Source organism: Homo sapiens, chromosome 5 (assembly GCF_000001405.40).
Source record: "Homo sapiens chromosome 5, GRCh38.p14 Primary Assembly".
Lineage (NCBI taxonomy): Eukaryota > Metazoa > Chordata > Mammalia > Primates > Hominidae > Homo > Homo sapiens.
This window is the reverse complement of record NC_000005.10, coordinates 157,215,386-157,237,145: the sequence shown is the minus strand read 5'-3', so window position 1 is coordinate 157,237,145 and position 21,760 is coordinate 157,215,386. Positions and strand designations below refer to the sequence as shown.

The following is a 21,760-nucleotide window of genomic DNA, read 5'->3' as shown; positions in this document are numbered from 1 at the left end:
CTAGGTTGATTCCATGTCTTTGCTATTATGAATAGTGCAGGTGTCTTTTAGGTAGAATAATTTATTATCCTTTGGGTATATACCCTGTAATAGGATTGCTGGGTTGAATAATAATTTTATTTTTAGTTTTTTGAGAAATCACCAAACTGCTTTCCACAGGGGCTGAACTAATGAACATTCCTACCAACAGTGTATAAGGATTCTCTTAATGATAATATATTTCTTAGGCCCTTTCCAGAATGAGAATTTGGCTGCAGGGCGGAAGGAAAAAGAACATTAAGCTCCTGGTTTCATGAGAGAGGTGGGAAGAAGGGAGTGCCCTGAGAATGTAACTTTCGCCACCCTGACAGTTTTGCCAGCACTGATGAAATAAGCACTAATAAATGGACATACCATTTTATTCATTCTTGGTGGAAATTAAAAAATCTGAAGTCTATTTTAAGTACTTCCTATCTAACACTCTGTTCCTACCCCGCTGTAAACTTGCACTGGTAACATTTGTTAAGCCAAATATTATGATTCACTTAACTTAGTCACAATGAGGGCCCTAAGTAAAGGTCAGAGTTAGACAAGATCCTTGTGCGGAGGGCATACACTTGGAGTATAAGGAACAAAGTATATAGAAACTACAACAACACAAATCCTTCTATCCCACAACTAAAATGATGGTTTGCCTGTGGGCACATATCTGTGTACACACACAGACAGTGGCCCATGCTATTTGTTTGAATTCCAGAATCTCTGGGTTTAAAAGGATTTTTTTTTTTTTTTAAGATGGAGTCTCATTCTGTCACCCAGGCTGGAGTGCAGTTGCACAATCTCAGCTCACTGTAACCTCCACTTCCTGGGTTCAAGTGACTGTCTTCCTTCAACTTTCCAAGTAGCTGGAATTACAGGTGCCCGCCACCACGCCTGGCTAATTTTTTGTATTTTTAGTAGAGATGAGGTTTCACTATGATGTCCAGGCTGGTCTTGAACTCCTGACCTCCAGTGATCCGCCTGCCTCGGCCTCCCAAAGTGCTGGGATTACAAGCATGAGCCACCGTGCCTGGCCTTAAAAGGAACTTATAAAGATGAGTAACTGTATGAGCTTCAGTTTCCTCATCTGTAAAATGACCTTTGGAAGGTTGATGGGAGAACTGAGGTAATGTGCCTAGAATTGCTCCTGGAATACAATACTAGGACAAGAACTATTAGAGTATTATTGGCCATTATTATCACATGCTAAGTTTGCTACTTATTGGAAGTAATTATTCCATTGTCAGTCTCCATCTGAGACATGTTGGTTGTGTTAGGAGTATTTTTCTTTCTTTCTGTTCATATAATTTGAAGGTGACCTTTCAGAAGATAATCTCAACACACAGGGTAAGTTATTGTGAACAGATGGACTGATAATTCATAGTCTTGTTATGCTGCATTATACTTTAAGAGTGTCTCTGAAATACAGCCATCTTTCATTCTGGAGGTGGTGCTTTTCTTCTCTTGAAACAAACCAATTATTAAGTCAACATTGAGTCTTCAATGACACTTTAGAATGTCTGAACTTCAGGTCACCCTATGTGTGAGATGTTGTAAGGTGTTCTAAGAGAGTTACCCACTTGCAAGGAATTTACCATCTACCTAGATGGGTAAAGACAGAAGAGAAACTGCTGAGATTGGAGGCAGAGTGAGAACAGAGCCACTGGAGAAGTAATAATACTGATAATAACATTTGACCCATAAAGGTTCAAAGACAAGAAAAACCACGTTCCATAGCTAGGGCGAGGGAAGGCATGAGAGACTTCTGGGAGGAGGCAACATTGGAAGAACTGATATGGCACATTAGGAGATGCTTTTTAGTGGCTCCCAAATGTAGGTAAGTCCCAGAATAACTTGGGTGCCACCTCTTGAGGTTCTGACTGGATAGGCCTGGAGTCCAGGAATTTGTATTTTTAAAAAGCTCCTGCAGTGATGCTTATGATCACCCAGGTCCCCCTTAAGTGGAGTTGTTAGTTTAAAAACATTTATTAAGCCTTCAGTGTATTCATTCATTCATTCAACAAATATTTATTGAACAACTACAAGGTGCTAGATACACTTTTGGGTGCCTAAGTACAGCAGGAACAAGATAAATTGTTTATAGTCTAGTGGCGAAATATGTATGGGGCAGTACACCAGGAGTTTTAGTTCATAAAAAGGTGTAATGAATCAATTCATCTCTTTTTTTATTATTATTATACTTGAAGTTCTGGGGTACATGTGCAGAACATGAAGGTTTGTTACATGGGTATACATGTGCCATGGTGGTTTGCTGCACCCATAAACCTGTCATCTACATTAGGTATTTCTCCTAATCCTATCTCTCCCCTAGCCCCCCACCCACTGACAGACCCTGGTGTGTGATGTATCCATGTTCCTGGTGTGTGATGTGTCCATGTGTTCTTGTTGTTCATCTCCCACTTATGAGTGAGAACATGCAGTGTTTGGTTTTCTATTCCTGTGTTAGTTTGCTGAGAATGATGTTTTCCAGCTTTATCCATGTCCCTGCAAAGGACATGAACTCATCCTTTTACCAACCCAAATTCCCATCAATGATAGACTGGACAAAGAAAATGTGGCACATATACGCCATGGAATACTATGCAGGAATTCATCTCTTAAAGGTCCTATACTTATTAGATAAAAAGACTCTAAATACACCTAGAAATAATACAGCTATTGTTTCAAAAACAGCACACAAAAAAAGTGAAAAATAGCAAGAAAATGTCATTCAATTCTATCCAGAATCTGGGCTGAGTCTGACAGGGACCCATTGATGTTTGCCCTCATATTTACCTAAGGAGGAGAAGAGAATTTGGTAAAGTAGCTCAAAATATTAGTAAGGAGGCTGGGCGTGGTGGCTCATGCCTGTAATCCCAGCACTCTGGGAGGCCAAGGCAGGCGGATCACCTGAGGTCAGGAGTTTTGAGACCAGTCTGGCCAACAGGGCGACACCCCGTCTCTAGTAAAAATACAAAAATGAGTTAGGTGTGATGGCACATGCCTGTAATCCCAGCTACTTAGGAGGCTGAGGCAGGAGAATCACTCGAACCCAGGCAGCGGAGGTTGCAGTAAGCCGAGATCATGCCACTACATGCTAGCCTGGGTGACAGAGGGAGACTCTGTCTCAAAAAAAAAAAAAAAAAAAAAAAAAAAAAAAAAAATATATATATATATATATATATATATATATATGTATCAGTAAGGAGGAATGTTTCAACTGCCAGAGCAAGCAAAATGTACTTAGCACTTAGCACCTCACAAGAACTGCTGTAATACAGGAATCATCTTTTAGAAGTCATTAATGTGGGCTGTTTGAAGTGCTCCATAGACGTCATTAACTGATGTGTGATTAATATAACAAAACTATACTTGTTTAAACACAGTGTAATTCAGAGTTTTAGCTAATTTTGCACTCCACTCAATTAGTTCATATTAATCAAGTTCTACTTTGTTATCCAATAACACAGCCTGGCAGCGCCAGGTTTGAGTTGGCTACATTTGCATTGTAAATTTAACTTGAGAAAGTACAGATTCCCGGGAACTAACACTAGAGACTCTGATTCTGTGGATCTGGGGTGGGACCTGGGAATCTGTATTTTTGAACATTTCCCAGCAATTCTAATGTGTGTTTTTTTGGGGAACCCACAGGAAATAATTAAGTGCTGAGTTGATGTAGAGCCAAGGAGAGACCAGAGTTCAGTAAGGACTCAGCTCAACTTCTTTTTCTTCATGGAATCTTTCCCAACTCCTCTGGAGTTTACCTTAGTTTATTTTAGATTATTCCCTTGCTCTTTTTTCTGCATTTGTCTTGTTTCCCAATAAAGTCCCAATGCCATGGACTGAGATCAGCTGTGTTGGTCACAGGACAAGGAGCAGAAAGTGGCAGGATGAGGGCTGGGTAACTGTGATCCCTGACTTAATCCAATTCTGCCCTTCTACTCACTGAGAAACCGAGGCCCAGAAGGAAGAAGAGAGGTCCCCAAAGTCACCCAATGAGTTGGTGACATAACAGGAACTAGAGCCCAGTACCTGCCCCACCATACCATCTTTTCTACTTTTCTCTTCCCTTTCGCCCTTAATCTTGACATCCCTGAGTAAAATCGGTCCTGCTATGCACACTGCATGGCTTTAGAGGATAACTGTTGATGAAATGTAAGTTAAAACAAGTGCTATGTTTCCTCTGGACTCACAGCTGAGTCAGGCCGAATCAGAGTCACAGACATCTCTGACCCACACTGAGAAGAAGGCATGACTGACCAGCCCTGATGGCACCCCATGGCCAGCCATCACCACTCACAAAGACTGCTGCAGCGGTGATGATGTCTCCACGTCAATGCCAAGCCCAGGTTTCTTATCCTGTGGTTTGCTAGTCCTGTAAATTCCCAGAATATTTTCACCAGACATGAAAACTATCGTTAATCCAACATGTCAACCCACTGCATTGGCATAAAACGCAGCAAAGCTGAAAAAACAGTACAATTCTTTCTTTCTTTCATTTTTACCTTTCTTCCCTCCCTCCCTCCCTCCCTTCCTCTCTTTCTTCTTTTGACAGGGTCTTGATCTTGCCCAGGCTGAAGTGCAGTGGTACAATGATAGCTCACTGTAACCTTGAACTCCTGGGCTCAAGTGATCCTCCCACCTTGGCCTGCCAAATCGCTGGGATTCCAGACATGAGACAGTGCACTTAATTCATTTTATTTTATGTCAAAAGACAGGTTAAGGAGACTTACTGTGTCCAAAAGAAGTTTTTCAGCTTTGTCTCGGCTGATACTCTTATTGTACCACCTGAAAGCAAGGAAAAGTCATATGTCAATGACATATTTTAAAGTTTCATTATTTACTTATAAAAGACAATGCTAGAAAATCATATGGTCATTTTCTATTTCTACCAGTGCTTTAAAAAAATTTTAAGTGTATTTTATTTATTTAACAAGTCTGCACACGTATGTTTCTACCAGTGCGTTTAAACTCAAAAGCAAATGCATGATTCATTTCCAGGTATTAAAATGTTTAATTGGAAAGAAACATATGAAACAGAATTGGCAAAATACTGATCATTGTTGATGCTAGGTTTGGGGAACATGGATATTCATTATATTATTATCTTTACTTTTGTATACATTGGAAATTTTCTAAAATAAAGTTTTAGAAAACATTAATTTTCCTCTTCGTTTCATAAGTCAGTAGACAGTTCGTTATAAGGAGGAGGGTGCTAGTGCAGCTATAAAATTGTAATACCAGTTTGAAAGTTTAGCAAATATCCTTTTAAAACAACTGTAGTATTTTCCTCTTTAAGACTGCTCTTCCAGACATTCTGCCAAGTAATTGCATTATTTTTATAATTTTGTTGTCTGGTGAAAAACAACTATAAAATGGTAAAGAAGAATATAAATGATTTTTAGGGATGAAGTTTTTTTTTTATGTTGTTAACAATATTTAGCCACATCCTAACCTCTCTGGCTGCTTTTTAGGTAAGAGGAGGCAGACTGATCATCGGTTAATAATCAGTTTTGAAAATTAATAAATGCAGGAGGAGAGAAGTTCTGGGTAGGGAAGGAATACCACTTAACAAACTTGTTTGGCTACTTGAGAGTAGCCATGACTAAAGGAATTCATGGATTCGTTAGAGGTTTTGAACATTATAAGACAGAACAGTACATGACACCAACATGGGCTCTTAGAGATTATCTAATCGAGGATTGGGAAAATATAGGCTTCATCTCACACACAGGCCATCAGCGATAGTAGTGGCTGCCTAGAGCTGTGCATTGAAAAGGTTGTCACCAGCATGGTGGGTAAATAGCTTCACTATCAAAGGGTGATGTCTGCCTGAGTTCAGTGCATGGGAAGGGAATGCCAGCAAGAGAGTCATGATTTGCCTTCCTTCATCTTGTCTGAGCATTCATTTTATGGAGAAGGGATCAGAACTCAAATAGGGTGAGGTAACTTGCCCAAGGTCATGGCTGCAAACCAAGGCAGGAGACCTGAATCCATTCAATTTACCAACCCATGACTATGTTACCAGGTGGTACATTTTTAAGTACTTAGGCAGATCTCACCTGAAACTAGACAACACTAAGTTCACGAATAAAAAGTTATCATACTGGAATCTTTCATATATCCAGTTATATACTAAATATCTGAATGTTTGCTTGTAAGTCATGTTATTTTCCAGCTGAGATTCATAATCTGGAGAATGCAAACTGAAAGTGCACAGTATAACTAGATTGTTTTGTTTGCATGGTATAGTGTTTTATTTTTAAAATGGCTTAAAATACCTTTAGGTGGGTGAATGACTTTTTTTATTTGCTCCAGACCTCACCATTTCCTATTGCTTATCCTGTTGGAATTTTGAGTTTGCTCCTTTGATCATAAACAAAGAGATTCTGATTAAAAGCAAAGTTGAACAAACAAAACTACATAGCCTAGTGGTCATTTGAAATAAATGCTTATTGTTTTTTCTTCAAAGGTATTGCCTATAAAGATTTTTTATTTTATTTAAGCATATACCCTATATGTTTTATTTCAGCTCAAAAATTCTTAGAACTGATGACCCTTCTGTTCACTGAGGGAAGGGCTACTCACACATACTTTATCAAAACAAACAAGGTTGAGAGACTCCAGAAAATGACGGTTCTTCACTAAAGAATCTACTAGAATTTCAGCAACAAATAACACGACCACATTTGAATTAAGAACCCTAATGCGTTAATAGGTGTCCTCATTAGCTTTATTCTTTAGGCCTGGTATCTTATATTTAGTGAGTAATTAATTTTTTAAAATTTTTAAATAATTTCAAACTTACAGAAAAGCTGTAAAATAGTGTAAAAGAACCATCATATACACATAACCCAGATGAGCCAATTGCTGATATTTTATACATTTGCTTTACTATTCTCTTTAGATAGACATAGATTGACTTTTCTTCTGAACTATTTGAGAATTGACTTTTATTCCTAAGTACTTCTGTGTCTATTTCCTAAGACACAGAGTATACACTTATCTAACCACAGTACAATTACCGAAGTCATGAGATTTAAGATCTACATAACACTATTACTTAACTGCAGATCTTATTCAAATTGTATCGGTTGTCCCAATAATGTATATTATAACAAAAAATATTTTTTTGTATGGGTCAAGATCCAGCCCAGGATCACCACTGTATTTAGTTACCATGTGTCTTTAATCTATTACTATTATTTTTTTTGAGATGGAGTTTCGCTCTTGTTGCCCAGGCTGGAGTTCAATGGTGCAATCTTGGCTCACAGCAACCTCTGCCTCCTGGGTTCAAGCAATTCTCCTGCCTCAGCCTCCCAAGTATCTGGGACTACAGGCGTGTGCCATCACACCCGGATAATTCTGTATTTTTAGTAGAGACGGTGGTTTCACCATGTTGGTCAGCCTGGTCTCAAACTCCTGATCTCAGGTGATCCACCTGCCTCAGCCTCCCAAAGTGTTGAGACTACAGGTGTGGGCCACTGCGCCCGACCTCTTTAGTCTTTTTTAATGTGGACCAATTTCTCAGCCTGTTGTGTCTTTCCTGATATTAACATTTTTTTTTGAAGAGCCCAGGACATTAATTTTAGAGAATATTCCCTAATTTGGATTTGTCTAATATATCCTTATGAATATATCCTTATAAGTAAATTTATGTTGTGCATTTTTTGAGCAGGAATATCACAGAAGTGATGTGTGCCCTTCTCAGTGCATCACATAAGGAGACACAAGATACCTTTTTGCTCCATTATTTATGTGCATTTGGATTGACTGTTTCAGACGGGCCTGCTAGTTACCTCCACTTTGTAATTACAAGTGATTTGTGAGGAGATACTTTGAGACTATGTAAATATGCCACAGCTCATCAAACTTTAACTTGCTAGTGGTGACATTCATTGAGGATTCTTGCCTGAATCAGTTGATACTCTGGGTTACAAAATGATGATTTTTAAACTTTATCATTCATTAGTTGGCATTCTACTATAAGAAAAAACCCTTTCCTTTTTATTTATTTACTTCTTTATTTATCTATCAGTCTATCTATTTATTACAGATTCTTATATTATTCAATGGTTTGTAGTCTATTACTTATTTTAATAGTCATTATTTATTTTGATACTCAAATTGTCCCAGATTTCATCAAATGGAGCCTGTTAGAGCCAACTTCTGTGCTCATCTGACACGCCCACATCTTTTTGTCTGGGCACAGCGGTTCATACCTGTGATCCCAGCAGTTTGGGAGGCCATAATGGGAGGATCACTAGAGCCCGGAAGTTAAAGACCAGCCTGGGCAACCTAGTGAGATCCTGTCTCTACAAAAAATTTACAAATTAGCTGGACATGGTGGCATGTGCCTGTAGTTCCAGCTACTTGGGAGGCTGAGGATTGCTTGAGCCCAGTAGGTTGAGGTTGCGATGAGCCGAGATCACACTATTGCACTCCAGCCTGGGTGACAGTGAGACCCTGTCTCAAAAAAAAAAATTAAAGAAGAAAAATTTCTTTTTAAGTACTTCTTTACTTTCTGGCACAAAAAGATGTTCCAAGTTCCTTTTTGTTCTATCCCTACCCCAAGCCTTTTCTCCAGAAAGTCCTGGTTTTTTTAGTGGAAAGCCTTATTTAGGTATCAAGAGCTGGATGGTATGTGTGAACATTGCTGTTGCAGTAGGGATCATCTGGTATTTTTACAGTCAACCAATAATTTATTCCTAACTTAAGGAGGATTCCTTAGGACTGTATTTTCCAAAAACAAATAAAATATCTTACTCATAGGTTTCCAGATTATTTGGAGATTTTTCCACCAGATAACTGCTTGGTACATATCCTTCATGCCTGTTAAAAGGAAAATTAATGTTTAGACTTACATAGAACTAAGTTTTATATCATTTTATAGGTTTAATCCATTAAAAGTCATTTAAAGATTGGGGAATATCACATTATTTGGCATTTGCGATAAGACATTTTAAAGTTTAGAATACAAGAATTGGTAGGCCGGGGGCGGTGGCTCATGCCTGTAATCCCAGCACTTTTGGAGGCCGAGGCAGGTGGATCACGAGGTCAAGAGTTTGAGACCAGCCTGGCCAATATGCTGAAACCCTGTCTCTACTAAAACTACACACACACAAAAAAATTAGCCGGGTGTGGTGGTACATGCCTGTAGTCCCAGCTACTCGGGAGGCTGAGGCACAAGAATCGCTTGAACCCAGGAGGTGGAGGGTGCAGTGAGCCGAGATCGTGCCACTGCTCTCCAGCCTGGGCAACAGAGCGAGACTCTGTCTCAAAAAAAAAAAAAAAAAAAAAAAAAAGGAATTGGTAAAAAATAATAGCAACTTGTCTGTTAAAGGCAGGTTGATTTCACTACTGAAATATGAAACATAATAAAAAAAGAAGTGGCGATTTTACTTAAAAAGCTCTGTTTGCTGTTCTCCTCATTGTGAAATTTCCTCTACTGGAAAAAAAGATTAATATTCAGTGTCTATTTTCTATAAGGAAACATTTTTGTGTGATAATCAACATTTTTTCCACTTTAGTACTATCATTTTATAGTCAGGAAACCAAAATAATTAAAATATAAAAGATGACTTTCCAACCACAGATTCTAAAAGACACTACCAGTTGGCATTGTAAGCTTTTTAATTTAAGGCCTCCCTAATTGAGCTTCTTCAGATATGAACGGTATAAACACGAGAAAAAAAGGATAAAGCCAGGCTAGATTTGGGGATCAGGAGTCACTTTTGAGCAAGAATTAATAATTGTGCATAAACAAAAAACATAATAAACAAAATAAGAATATCAAACTTCTTTACATTTGTGTATAACTTTGTAGTTTTCAAAGCACTTTCACATTCATTATCTCATTTAATACCACAGGGTGAAAGCGGCATCCCTTCTACTCTCTGGACCTCTGACTTTATACCCGTCAAATGAAGGGCTTAAACTATATTATACTTAAAATCTAGTTTAAGTAGATACTCCATACTCTGTCAATCTGTAAAAAGATGACTGATAGGCTGGGTGTGGTGGCTCACACCTGTAATCCTAGTACTTTGGGAGGCTGAGGTGGGTGGATCACTTGAGCTCAGGAGTTTGAGACAAACCTGGGCAACATGGTGAAACCCTGTCTCTAGAAAATATATAAAAATTAGCCAGGTGTGGTGGCATGCACCTGTAGTCTCAGCTACTTGGGAGATTGAGGCATGAGACTCACCTAACCTGGGTGGTGGCGGGTGGGGGCAGTGGTGTGGAGGTTGCCATGAGCTGAGATCGTGCCACTGCACTCTGGCCTGGGTGACAGAGCAAGACTCTGTCTCAAAAAAACAAAAAAACAAAACAAAACAAAAAAAGATGCCTGATAGTTTATTGCTCTTTATTCCATAACATGTTTTAATTTTCTTATAATAAGGCCAATTTTCAATCTAGTGATTATGTTTATGGGAAATGTGTAATCAGTTCAGAGTTGTGAAGAGTGAAGAAATCAAGACTGTAGGTGCCAAATACAGGATGATCATCTTATATTTTACTCCTCTGGCAGACATTGCTAATCAATCATGGCATACTTTCTTTGGAGAATTGGACATCTGCCCTCAGAATCATCCTTCATACAGTGCTCAAGGCAGCCATTCCAACGGAAGAAAGTCAGCTTATTCTGAAATTTGCCATTCCTTCTGTATCACTCTTGGAATTCCCTTAATTATGTCTACTTTTGCCATACTATACTTTTACAATTATATTAATGCATCAAATAATATTTTGCTTTTGAATAGCATATGCCACCCAAAGCTGGGTCATCTACACAAATGGTAACTCTCATAGTTGTATGTGGATATGTAGAATTTCCAAAGCTCTTTCACTTCCATTATCTCATTGATTTTCTCAACACTGTGACGTAGACAAAGCTGACATTATCAGCTGCATTTTACAGTTCACGAAATGGATTCACAGAGGAAAAGTGACTTGGTCATCTGTGAATGACATGGTCACACATATGACATGGTCATCTGTGAATCCTCAGCTTCATATGACAAGAGTAGCTGATAAAGTCCAAGTCCTCTGTCTCCCCATCTTGTGTGCTTTCCACTATACCACACTATCACAAAGCAAACTGGGGAAATTCCCATAATGCTGACTGGCTGCTGGGGTGTCCTCTTTGATGCCCTTTGAAGTGCATAGTTAAGCCTTTCCACAGGTCACCAAATGAAGGGTTTAACTCTCATTTGGGGAAGTAAGGCCTAGGAGAACAAATTTCCTGGTACATTAGGTGTGCTAAGTAAAGTCAGTTGATTGAACTAATGAATTTCTAGGTCCCTTCGGTGTTTGTAGACCCTGTAGACAGTCTTGAACCTATTTCGGATATGGGCCTGTCTATAATGGACAGAGAGAAGGTGATGTGACTAGCTCAATTGTCTTCATGAATCAACTAGAAAGGGAGGTTCCAGACGAGGGGAGTTGGGGTCTGTTCTTAGCTAGCAAACCACACTGCCTCTCAAACCATGGTTCTGAATCTCATCACGTTTTACCCTGTCTCACTTCTGTCTTTCCTCCCCCTGTAATGGGGTTGATAAGCCTACTTAAAGAGAAGGCACCTTGAAAATGTAAATTCTGGTGTATGTAAAAGGTAAAGTCTTATCCTTAAAGATATTTGTGCCCCTCTTTTTTTTTTTTAACCCATCAGATTGACTTTTTTTAAAAGTTCAATGATACCCAGTCTTGGCACTTCCATAACTCTGTTAGCAGGAAGGTAAATTTGGCAAGCTTTGTGAGGAAATTATGTGGCAAAATTAAGATATCACATACTCTGACTTAACTGTTGCACAGTTAGAAATGTGACATATAGGCCAGGTATGGTGGCTTATGCCTGTAATCCCAACTACTTTGGGAGGCTAAAGCGGGAGAATTTCTCGAGTACAGTAGTTTGAGACAAGCCCGGGCAACATAATGAGACCCCATTTCTACAAAAAATTCAAAAATTATCTGGGCATGGTGGTGCGTGCCTATAGTCTCAGCTCTGTAGGGGTCTGAGATGGGAGGATCACTTGAGCCTGAGAGGTCAAGGCTGCAGTGAACTGTGAGAGTGCCACTGTGCTCCAACCTGGGTGACAGAGCAAGACCCTGTCTCAAAAAAAAGAAAAGGAAAACTAATGTGATAAATATATATCATATATATATGTTTGTATTCCAAAGATGGCCAAGATACATGAATACAAGATCTTCATTAAAGCCTTGTTTGAAACAGCAGAGGAAACAAATAAACTGGCAACTAAATGTCTCACCATAAAGGATTATTTAAATACTAATAATACAATCATACATTCTAAGATTGTGCAATTATTATTATTATGATTATTTTTGAGATGGATTCTCATTCTGTCTCCCAGGCTGGAGTGCAGTGGTGTGAGCTTGGCCCACTGCAACCTCCACCTCCCAGGTTCAAGCGATTCTCCTGCCCCAGCCTCCCGAGTAGCTGGAATCACAGGCGCCTGCCACCACACCCAGCTAATTTCTTGTATTTTTAGTAGAGATGGGGTTTCACCATGTTGGCCAGGTTGGTCTTGAACTCCTGACCTCAGGTGATCAGCCCACCTTGGCCTCCCAATCAAAGTGCTGGGATTACAGGCCTGAGCCACTGCGGCCGGCCCATGCAACTATTTTAAAAATGAGGTAGATTTGCATGTGCTGGTATGAAAAGATCTTCAATGTGTATTAATATCATTAAAAATTAAAAGCAAGATGCAGAACAGAATGGATCCACTTGGTACAAGTGAAAAAAGGATGCATTTGCACAGGTATAACTTTTATTTATGATACACAAGAAGGTATTAATAGTGATCACTTTTTTTTTTTTTTTGAGACAGAGTCTTGCTCTGTCGCTCAGGCTAGAGTGAAGTGGCACCATCTTGGCTCACTGCAACCTCTCCCTCCTGGGTTCAAGTGATTTTCATGCTTCAGCCAGTGGAGTAGCTGGGATTACAGGCTTGAGCCACCACACCATGCTAATTTTTGTATTTTTAGTAGAGACAGGGTTTCACCATGTTGGCCAGGCTGGTCTCAAACTCCTGGCCTCAAGTGATGCACTCACCTTGGCCTCCCAAACTGCTGGGATTACAGGCGTGAGCCAGTGCACCCGGCCAAATAGTGATTACTTTTGGACTTGATGTGGGGGCAAATGGAGGGTGGCTTATTTTTTATGTATATTTCTCTCTACTGTTAGTTAAGTAAAATGTTGACATAAATGATCTATATGTTGCAAGGACAGTTTTCTTTTTTATACTTTAAAATTAATAATAACCTCATACCTTGAAAACATTTAAACCCCTAATATTAATATACAAAGATGTTCGTTGCAGTGTTGTTAATATTTGCAAAATATTGGAGATAACCTAAGTGTTCAACAAGGGAATTTGCAATTTAGAGTACATTTATGGCTGGATTGATGCAACTATTGAACTCAGATTCTGGAAAATATTCCAGAGCATGGGTTAATACATCGGATATATTAAGAGGAAAAAAAAACCTTAAAAGGCAGTGTGAATCTCATGCTTGGTATTTTTTTCATTCAAAAGTTGCATAGTGGGAAAGTAGTATTTGTACAACCTTATTTTCTCCCTGAGTCATGTGGATGGCTAGTTCAATGACTGCGATTGTAACTAAATCTTTAGTGTCTTCTTTCTGATGCGTCCTAACATAACTATCAATCTGTACCATCTCTATACACACATTTTCTTTTCACCAAAAATAAGCACTTCCTAATGGGATGTACCTTCAGCCTCACTTAACACTCAGGAACAATAGCACTTTGCAGAACAAATTGCCAAGCTCCCAAATTGTAGATGTCAGTGGAAAAATCCAGGGGGTTTTTTAGATGAGTTTGGGTCTGGAGTGCCTGAGATGGGGTGCAGGGAACAAGCATAGCAAGTGACTGCCTCAGAGCCACTTCTGAGAAGAGGAAAAATGAGCCTCAACTACTTCCTCTTCCTCCCTCTTCCTTCTGCCTCTGCTCTCTTCTCCCACCTCAGTGCTGTGGTTACACTGTGGGAGATAGGACAAATCATCCTGGTATTTTATTTGTTCGCACCACACCTCAAACACGGGGACAGCAGCCACAAAGATGACTTACCCATTCCTGTCCTGGACTCTCCACCAGTGAATCTCAGAACTGTCCAGCAGGCAGTACTCTTCGTTGCGCCGCAGTGCGAGTTCCTGAGGATCATTGGTTTGGTAGTCATATAAGGCAATGACCACAGTTTCTTCAGGTTCCCAAAGTGGTCGCTGGGGAAGAGAGACAACAAAACCAAGCAAAGACATAAAAAAGGAGGTAAAATGCCTCCTTTCATCGGGGTGTCTGGGGAGACAGTCTGCCTTCCTCTGGTAGACTTTCTTTATGAGTTAGAGTTACAGCGCTGAACATGACACAAAGACATCAGTGCTTGGAATTCATCACATTGCTCATTCTATGAGGTAAATTCTGACCACAGTGAATTCCAAGCAGCCACGTGATTTTCACAAAAGTCTGCTGGTTTCTCTATCTGCACTATGTTATATGCAGCAGCCTCTCTGCTGGATGCATCATGCCCTTGGCAAAGGAGATGCAGTCAACATGAAATCTTTCAGTTTGTGCTTTACTAATATGATTTGTGGGTTTATCTAGATCTACGGAATCATAGGTTATTGGAGCTGGAATTCCTCTAACAGATCACTTAATACACTTTTTCATTTAGGATGAGGAAACTGAGGCCCAGATGGAGAAATGGACCTGGCCAATCTACCACTTGAATTAGCCCTAAGACTCTCTCTACTCTAGCACCTGTCTCCCTTCCTTCTCCTGTAGGCTCTATTGCTGATGTCTCTGTTCCTCAGTCCCTTTCTTCATGTCCATATTGAGGACATGAAGAAAAGACCACAAAGCGCATAGTCGCCAGAGTTCAGGATGGGCACGCCTGCTATGGGTTAGCAGACTTTGTGAGAGTAAATGTAGGGAAATATTAAGTTCCTCACTAGAATGTGGTTTAGTGTTAGGAAGTCACAAGTTCTCTGAGTACATTGAAGCATTTAGTGGCATAAAAATACTGGAGCTGAAAAAAGAGTCTCGTCATTTTGATGTAGTATGTCATCTCAGCTGAGCCCAGATCGGATTTTTTTTTTTAAGAGAGACAGGGTCTCACTATGTTGCCCAGACTGGTCTCAAACTCCTGGGCTCAAGTGACCCTCCTGCCTCGGCCTCCCAAAGTGCTGGGAGTACAGGAATGAGCCACTGTGCCCGGCTGCAGATTGGAATTTGAAATCTAGATATTTGTGGAGCTTGTGAGGATGTGTAAATGGGGTGCTATGGACAAGAGTGGATGGCCTGAGGCTTTTGCTCTAAGAGCTTATGGAGGGAGGAATAGTGTTCAAGGATGTTTGAAGAAGAAACAGAGCTATGGCATTCATCCCACTGCAGGTCAACTCATTGGTTAATAGCTGTGAAGAGAAAGGTCAGAGCAGGGCCCTCAAATTATGATAGTACCTTTCTGTAGGGGCACACTGGACATGTATTTTTTTTTCTAATAATCATGCAAGCTTGGAATATGGGGGTTATTTTGAACATCACAGTTTGAGGTATGCTATAGGCCTTTAATGCAAAATGCTCTGTAGAGTCCCACATTCCCCACAACTTTCGAATATCCTGGTAAACATTCATGTGGTGAGAAACCAGCTTATACAGTAATTATATAAGAACATCCTGAGCCTAGATCCTAGCTGTACCCTATCCAAAGTACTGGATTTCCCAAGAATGCAACTACCTTGTACTTTGAGGGAAGACTATGCTTTGGTTCAGAAGTTTACTAAGAGTTGTTCATCATTTTGGAAAATTATATCACTGGTGGTAATGCTGTAGTTGAGTCCCAATACCACATTTTGTATCAGTTGCATTCGAGATGCCAAATCCAATGGATCCTACCTGCCAGTGCAAGAATTCGACTATTTCATTCTGTCTTCCAGTGCAGTCATGTCCCAATATTTATATAGAAACACATATTTTGTTATATATATTATTTTTCTTTCCTTTTTAAATATTACAGTTAGAACATTTGTTGATTCTTTTTAAAAAGTATGTTTAATACAAAAGTTAGCCAGGTGTGGTGGCAAGTGCCTGTAGTCCCAGCAACTGCGGAGGCTGAGGAGGGAGGATGGCTTGAGCCCAAGAGACAGATGGTGCAGTGAGCTATGATTGCACCACTGCATTCCAGCCTGGGCAACAGAGTGACACCCTGTCTCAAAGCAACAAAAAATTTTAATTAAGTACTTTAATTTTAAAAAATTGTGTATATATATGTTATATTAGTTATAAATTTCTTTTCAGGATAACAAAAGGAACCTTACAAAATATCTGTCATTAAAAGGCAGGATTGAGTTTGATAAGGTTGGGAACCATTAGATTTGAGTGAGAAAATCAAGGGATGGCATTTGGAGAAACTGAGTCTGTGGGCTCAGGAAGGGTTGTTTGGGAGCCTCCATGATGTGGTGAGGCATGAAAGGAATGAGGATCCTGCCTCCTGACCACTCTGCTGCAGGCCTCAGCACAACCTGACCCCCCAGGACCTCTGCTGGCCCCAGGTGGGAAGAGCTCCACGGGGCTGAGGGGCCCTCACAGAGAGCCCAGGTAGCAGTGGCAGGGATAGGGTGCCTTAGTAGGCAGCCAGCAAGAAAGGACACATGCAGACACATTCTAGTGGCCCCTCAGCAAGCCCTGGGTTGACTGGGAGGGACTGTAAGAGGAAGACTTGAGTTCCCATGGATGCAGGGGGCCAAGAGGAATCGGAATTTGTACTTCAATGTGATATACGACCTTGTTTGTATCCATAGGCAAAAGAGGCCTAGGATTGTCCTTCACTCTGACCATGGATATTTTACATCTTGAACCAAAATAGCCATCCCCCAACCCCCAGAGGACTGGCCAGTCCCCGGAGGACTGGCCCTGCTCACAGTGTTTCTCACATAGAGCATGAGACCTGTTGGCTCAGACTGGATTAAAAACAGTTTCTCTGTATGACAACCCGAGATGTCATTACCACTCAGGCAGCAGAACAAGAAGGTGAGGAGAGAAATGATTTCAAGTGGCTCAGACAAGAGAACCGTTGCATTGGATTTAGACATGCGGTTGAAACTAGAACAATGATTCCAAAACCTTTGTGGTCAGAACACTCAAAACAGTATCCACGATGCTCCTCCAAGAAGGCTGAAAAGCCAAATGGCAGAGTGTAGGGAGAGAAGGACCAGCAGTGTTTTCTGGCTTTCACCTTCATTGATACCAAAAATAAAGACACAAGAGCAGCCTCACTTAAGATGGGAGGTGTGGGTTTAGGCGGGACTGTTGAGGGAACCGTCTGCAAGGGAGGGCAGTAGGGTTCCGAACCAGGCCTTCAAAGGGGATGGTGAAATAGTCTGCAGAAGGTCAGTGAAAGAAAAGGAGAGAGAGCTCATTCTCTGCTACAGTTTCAGTACATTTCTCTCATGTTGTGAGGGAGTAGGCTGATGACAGATCTAAACACCAGGCTGGGGCTTTGAGGATTTAGAGCTTCCTTTATGGGGACGCTGCCAGTTTTGAAATGTCACCATTTTGGCTGAAGGGAAAAAAGGCAGAGCTCATTCTTCAGGAAGAAGCATGAGGAAATGGAATCTGAAAGCTCTTGTTAAAGAACTTGCTCTGGAATGAAGAGCGAGTACTCAAATGTGGGTATTGGTCAGGCACAGTGGCTCACGCCTGTAATTCCAGCACTTTGGGAGGTTGAAGTGGGTTGATCGCCTGAGGACAGGAGTTCAAGACCTGCCTGGCCAACATGGTAAAAGTCGGTCTCTATTAAAAATACAAAAATTAGCCGGGCATGATGGTGAGCGCCTGTAATCCCAGCTACTCAGGAGGCTGAGGCAGGAGAATCGCTTGAACCTGGGAGGCGGAGGTTGCAGTGAGCCGAGATCACGCCATTGCACTCCAGCCTGGGTGACAAGAGCAAGACTCTATCTCAAAAAAAAAAAAAAAAGAAAGAAAAGTGGATATTGGTGTTAATATTATCATAAGGTCAGGGTCATATTCCCTACCTAAAGGTCATGATCCTTTCCCCCATCTTTTTTTTTTCATCTCCTTAACAAAATAAGCTGCCCTAGAGTAGGTACTATGCCATCTAAGACTTGTAAGTCAGTATATTATAGATCAGTGAGGAGGCTTATTAAAATGCAGATTCCTGGGCCCCTCCCCCAGCGTTTTGGACACAGCAGGTCTGGGGGTGGGGCCTAAGAATTTGTATTTCTAACATGCTCCCAGGTGATGCAGATGCTTCTGGTCCATGGACTATACTTTGAGAACCACCACTCGAGTTAAAGACCACCACGCCAGAAACCTTGCATCCTACTAAGTTGCTGAATGGCCTTGGAAAAGCCTCAAGACCTGTCTTGGGATTTGATTTCCCAAGCTTTACAATGAGAATAAAACTAAAACCCTCTGAAGTGGATAGAACGGATAGTAAGTTTTAAAATAGATAATAAAGGGGTGGAAGTGCTTTGAAATATATAAAATATCAACAAATGTATGTCTCCAAAATGCTTGCGAAGAGTAGATGTGCACCTTGTTTTTTTTTTTTTTTTTCTGGAGACGGGGTCTTGCTCTGTCACCCGGGTTGAAGTGCAGTGGCACACAGTCATGGCTCACTGCAGTCTCGACCTCCTGGGAGTAAGTGATCCTCCCACCTCAGCTTGCTAAGTAGCTGTGACTACAGGTGTGCACCACCACACCAGCTAATTTTTAAAAATTTTTTCTAGAGATGGGGGTCTCACTTTGTTGTCCAGGCTGGTCTCGAACTCCTGGGCTCAAGCGATCCTCCCACTTTGGCCTCCCAAAGTGCTGGGATTACAGACGTGAGCCACCATGCCAGACACACTTTTATGTAGAGTGAGCTGCTACTATACTCCAAAGTGGTCAGGTGAATGGCCACCCAATTTGATATCAGTATTTGTTGAATAAATAAAGTGAGATGGAGATTTAGCAGCTGAATGGTCCTTTAAGTGGACAGACCCCCCAAGAGAGTTCAAGCCCAAAAATACCCAATGTGTTGAGTTCTGCTGAATCATGACAGCCTGCTGCATGCAGCCAGGGTTTGAAAACTATGGGGAGAGGGGGACATGCAAATAGGAACATGCCAATCAGGTAGCCTGTGGGCCCACCTGCACCCGGAGCTAGCGCTCTCACTCACCCTGTTGTCTTCAGGAGTAGGAGGAAGAGGCTTCTTTGAAGCTGAAAAGAGAAAAACAGGAAAAGAAAAAATGAGCATGAAAACTAATGGACCCAACCGGAAGTGAGCAGCCAGGGGGTTTTTCTGAGAAAAAGGGCCCAGGGAAAACAACAGAAGAAAGGGGGCCAGAAGGAGCAATAAGACACAGTGAAACCTGACTTGGCCTTGTCAGAAGCTGTCTTTTATCTCCTTGGGCCTGCTGGTTTCTGATTCCCTTTTCTAGTACACACCAGAAGCTTCCAGAAGTCCATATTCGGGGGCCCTCTCTTTCTGTATTCCCAGGAAAAGCCTGCCAGTGGGGTTAGACTTGCACCCTTCCCTGTAGGCATAGAGACTTCCGGGAATGTCTCTGCCACCTGCTAAGCTCAGGAGTGGGAATTGGTGACTCAGGGGGACAGTGACTCACTAGCTTCCTGATATGGTTGTGGGCTTGAGGAGGGGGTGGCTGAGGTGGGAGGTCATTGTGCTGCTTTTTGAGTGGGCTGGGATCCACTTTTAGTTGCCTTAAGGCATCTGAATATGTGTTCTTTCTGCCTCTTTCAAACTATACCAACCCCAGCATCTCTCTGTCTTTGTCTTTCTGCTTATCTCTGTTTCCATGTCTCCGTCTGTTTAGCTCTCCTCTCTCTTCCCTCTTTCCTCCTTTCTCTTCTCTTCTCCTCTCTCTTTCTCTTTCTCTCTCTCCTTCCTCTCATCTCTTCATATGCATCTCTCACTATTTCTCCTTTGTAGCTCTGCAAAGGCCATTCCTGGACTCAATGAATCAAAGGTGTGTGGCTGTGTCTGGGGCTCTCTGTGGTACGGGAGGCACTGCACAGACTTCAGGCTAATACAAAGACGTCCTTAATAACGAGAGATGGGAAGAGAATGGGCTGCATAGGTAGACGATGAGTTCCTCATTTCTGTATGAGGTTGACTTGAAGTTGGACAGCTCACATCAGGGATGTGGTAGAGGAGAGTCACACATTGACACTGGAGCCCAGTCCCGTGCAGACTTGCCAAGAAAGAGTAGGCTGGGATAGTGACCTGGGTATACAATGACCACAGAAGAAGGAAAACCCCTGTAATAGGAAGTATGGTTCCTATTTAGAACTCAACTTGGAGCTGGGAGACTGGTGTTCTAACTCTGGCTTCACCAATACTAGCTGTGAGCCTTGGCCACTTCCAGCCCTGGACATTCTATGACTGGTCTCTCTTTCTTCGTCCTCTGGCCTTGCTTTTCCCTTCCTTCCTTTCCCTCCCCACAGTGGGGAGATCAGGGCCAGTTCTGGTTGCAGAAATGGGTGTTACTATGGGTTGGGTGTGGCTGGGTCTGTTTTTACTCATCCACTTCTGCTGCTTCCCAGACCCATACAAGTTCTGAGGCTATATCTCAGCCTCAGATTCTTTCATCCACCAATAAGGAAGACAAGTAGACACAATTACCATTTATCAAGAACTCTGTAAATGTTGGCAGCTGTACTGCTTTCCACAACACCATTGAATCTCCCAGCCTTACACATAGCTATCTATTATCATTATCCCCATATTGCAGGTGAGAAAATGCTCTTAGAGGCTCAGAGGGATTATCCAAAGCCCAGTGCTCATAGACCCGCACTGCCAATGTGCTCGGTACCAGGAATCCTGTGAGCCTTCATCCAGGGTGATGACCATAAGCTGCGTTCACAGTGCAGTGTGCTTCTTGAAAACTCTGCTCTCAACTGTGCAAAACTCAGATCCATGAAGTTATTTAACCAAATCAGAAGAGGGTAGAGTGAGGAGATGCTCAGAGGAGGATATGGCAATGGGTTGCAATGCAAAAGCAAAACCATTAGCACAGTGACTGCATGACAACCACAGCAGGACCCCAAGAGTGCTCAGGCCCTGGTTTCACATGGGGAACAGCTCAGCATGACCAGTCCTCCCCCACTGGCATTCTGGTGAGTCATTCAGATGTCCCTAGCACCTCAGTCACATGTGTATCACTTGGAGGAGGGAAATACTTGCGCCCCGAAGAGGAATAGCTGCAGCATGCATGGTGAAAATTACAAAATGGAAATACCAAGTCAAAGAATTTCAGAATTGGAAAAGGGCTTAGGTATTATTTCATCCTAAGCCCCTCAGAACTCCCTGCCATTTTTGAGATGAGGACATTGGGGCCCTTGATGGCCACGTGACTCATCTGAGGGCCCACAGCAAGGCATTGGCAGAAATTTGGAGACCAGATCACTGACTTTGGAAAGGGCTTTCACTCACAGAGGTAAGCCCATGCCGTTCTGTTATTATGGTGGATCCTATCCAGAGAAAACTTTCCATTTCATTTTTATTAAATATTGGCCCGCATGAATATGGTAAACAGGACTAATGTGTAGGATCACTTGAATAGTTACCAATTTCTAAAACTTGTTAAGTATTGTTCTTCTGGGCCCAGGGATCGATTATGTCTAAGAGCTTTTTTCCCCAAGGTGCAGGGTGAAAAGTGGTGGTTTTTAAAGTGGCAATGA

General features: G+C 41.5%; 1 protein-coding gene across 1 annotated transcript in view, besides 4 other annotated features; it reads right to left on the bottom strand.

Moving 5' to 3' along the window:
• ITK (IL2 inducible T cell kinase) overlaps window positions 1–21,760 on the bottom strand; it is a 74,346-nt gene that overhangs the window by 18,040 nt on the left and 34,546 nt on the right. The window contains exons 5-8 of the mRNA NM_005546.4: window positions 19,239–19,279; window positions 14,132–14,283; window positions 8,785–8,850; window positions 4,752–4,806 (exon numbers count right to left, since the gene is read on the bottom strand). Coding sequence (NP_005537.3) covers window positions 4,752–4,806; window positions 8,785–8,850; window positions 14,132–14,283; window positions 19,239–19,279 — 314 coding nt within the window. The remainder of the gene's footprint in view (window positions 1–4,751; window positions 4,807–8,784; window positions 8,851–14,131; window positions 14,284–19,238; window positions 19,280–21,760) is intronic.
• Window positions 14,409–14,468: an enhancer, noted in NCBI's record as "active region_23505". NCBI's record gives its function as "activates an Ori minimal core promoter by ATAC-STARR-seq in GM12878 lymphoblastoid cells {active_cell/tissue: GM12878}" and the evidence as "EXISTENCE:reporter gene assay evidence [ECO:0000049][PMID:35858748]".
• Window positions 17,231–17,280: an enhancer, noted in NCBI's record as "active region_23504". NCBI's record gives its function as "activates an Ori minimal core promoter by ATAC-STARR-seq in GM12878 lymphoblastoid cells {active_cell/tissue: GM12878}" and the evidence as "EXISTENCE:reporter gene assay evidence [ECO:0000049][PMID:35858748]".
• Window positions 20,301–20,380: an enhancer, noted in NCBI's record as "active region_23503". NCBI's record gives its function as "activates an Ori minimal core promoter by ATAC-STARR-seq in GM12878 lymphoblastoid cells {active_cell/tissue: GM12878}" and the evidence as "EXISTENCE:reporter gene assay evidence [ECO:0000049][PMID:35858748]".
• Window positions 20,421–20,480: an enhancer, noted in NCBI's record as "active region_23502". NCBI's record gives its function as "activates an Ori minimal core promoter by ATAC-STARR-seq in GM12878 lymphoblastoid cells {active_cell/tissue: GM12878}" and the evidence as "EXISTENCE:reporter gene assay evidence [ECO:0000049][PMID:35858748]".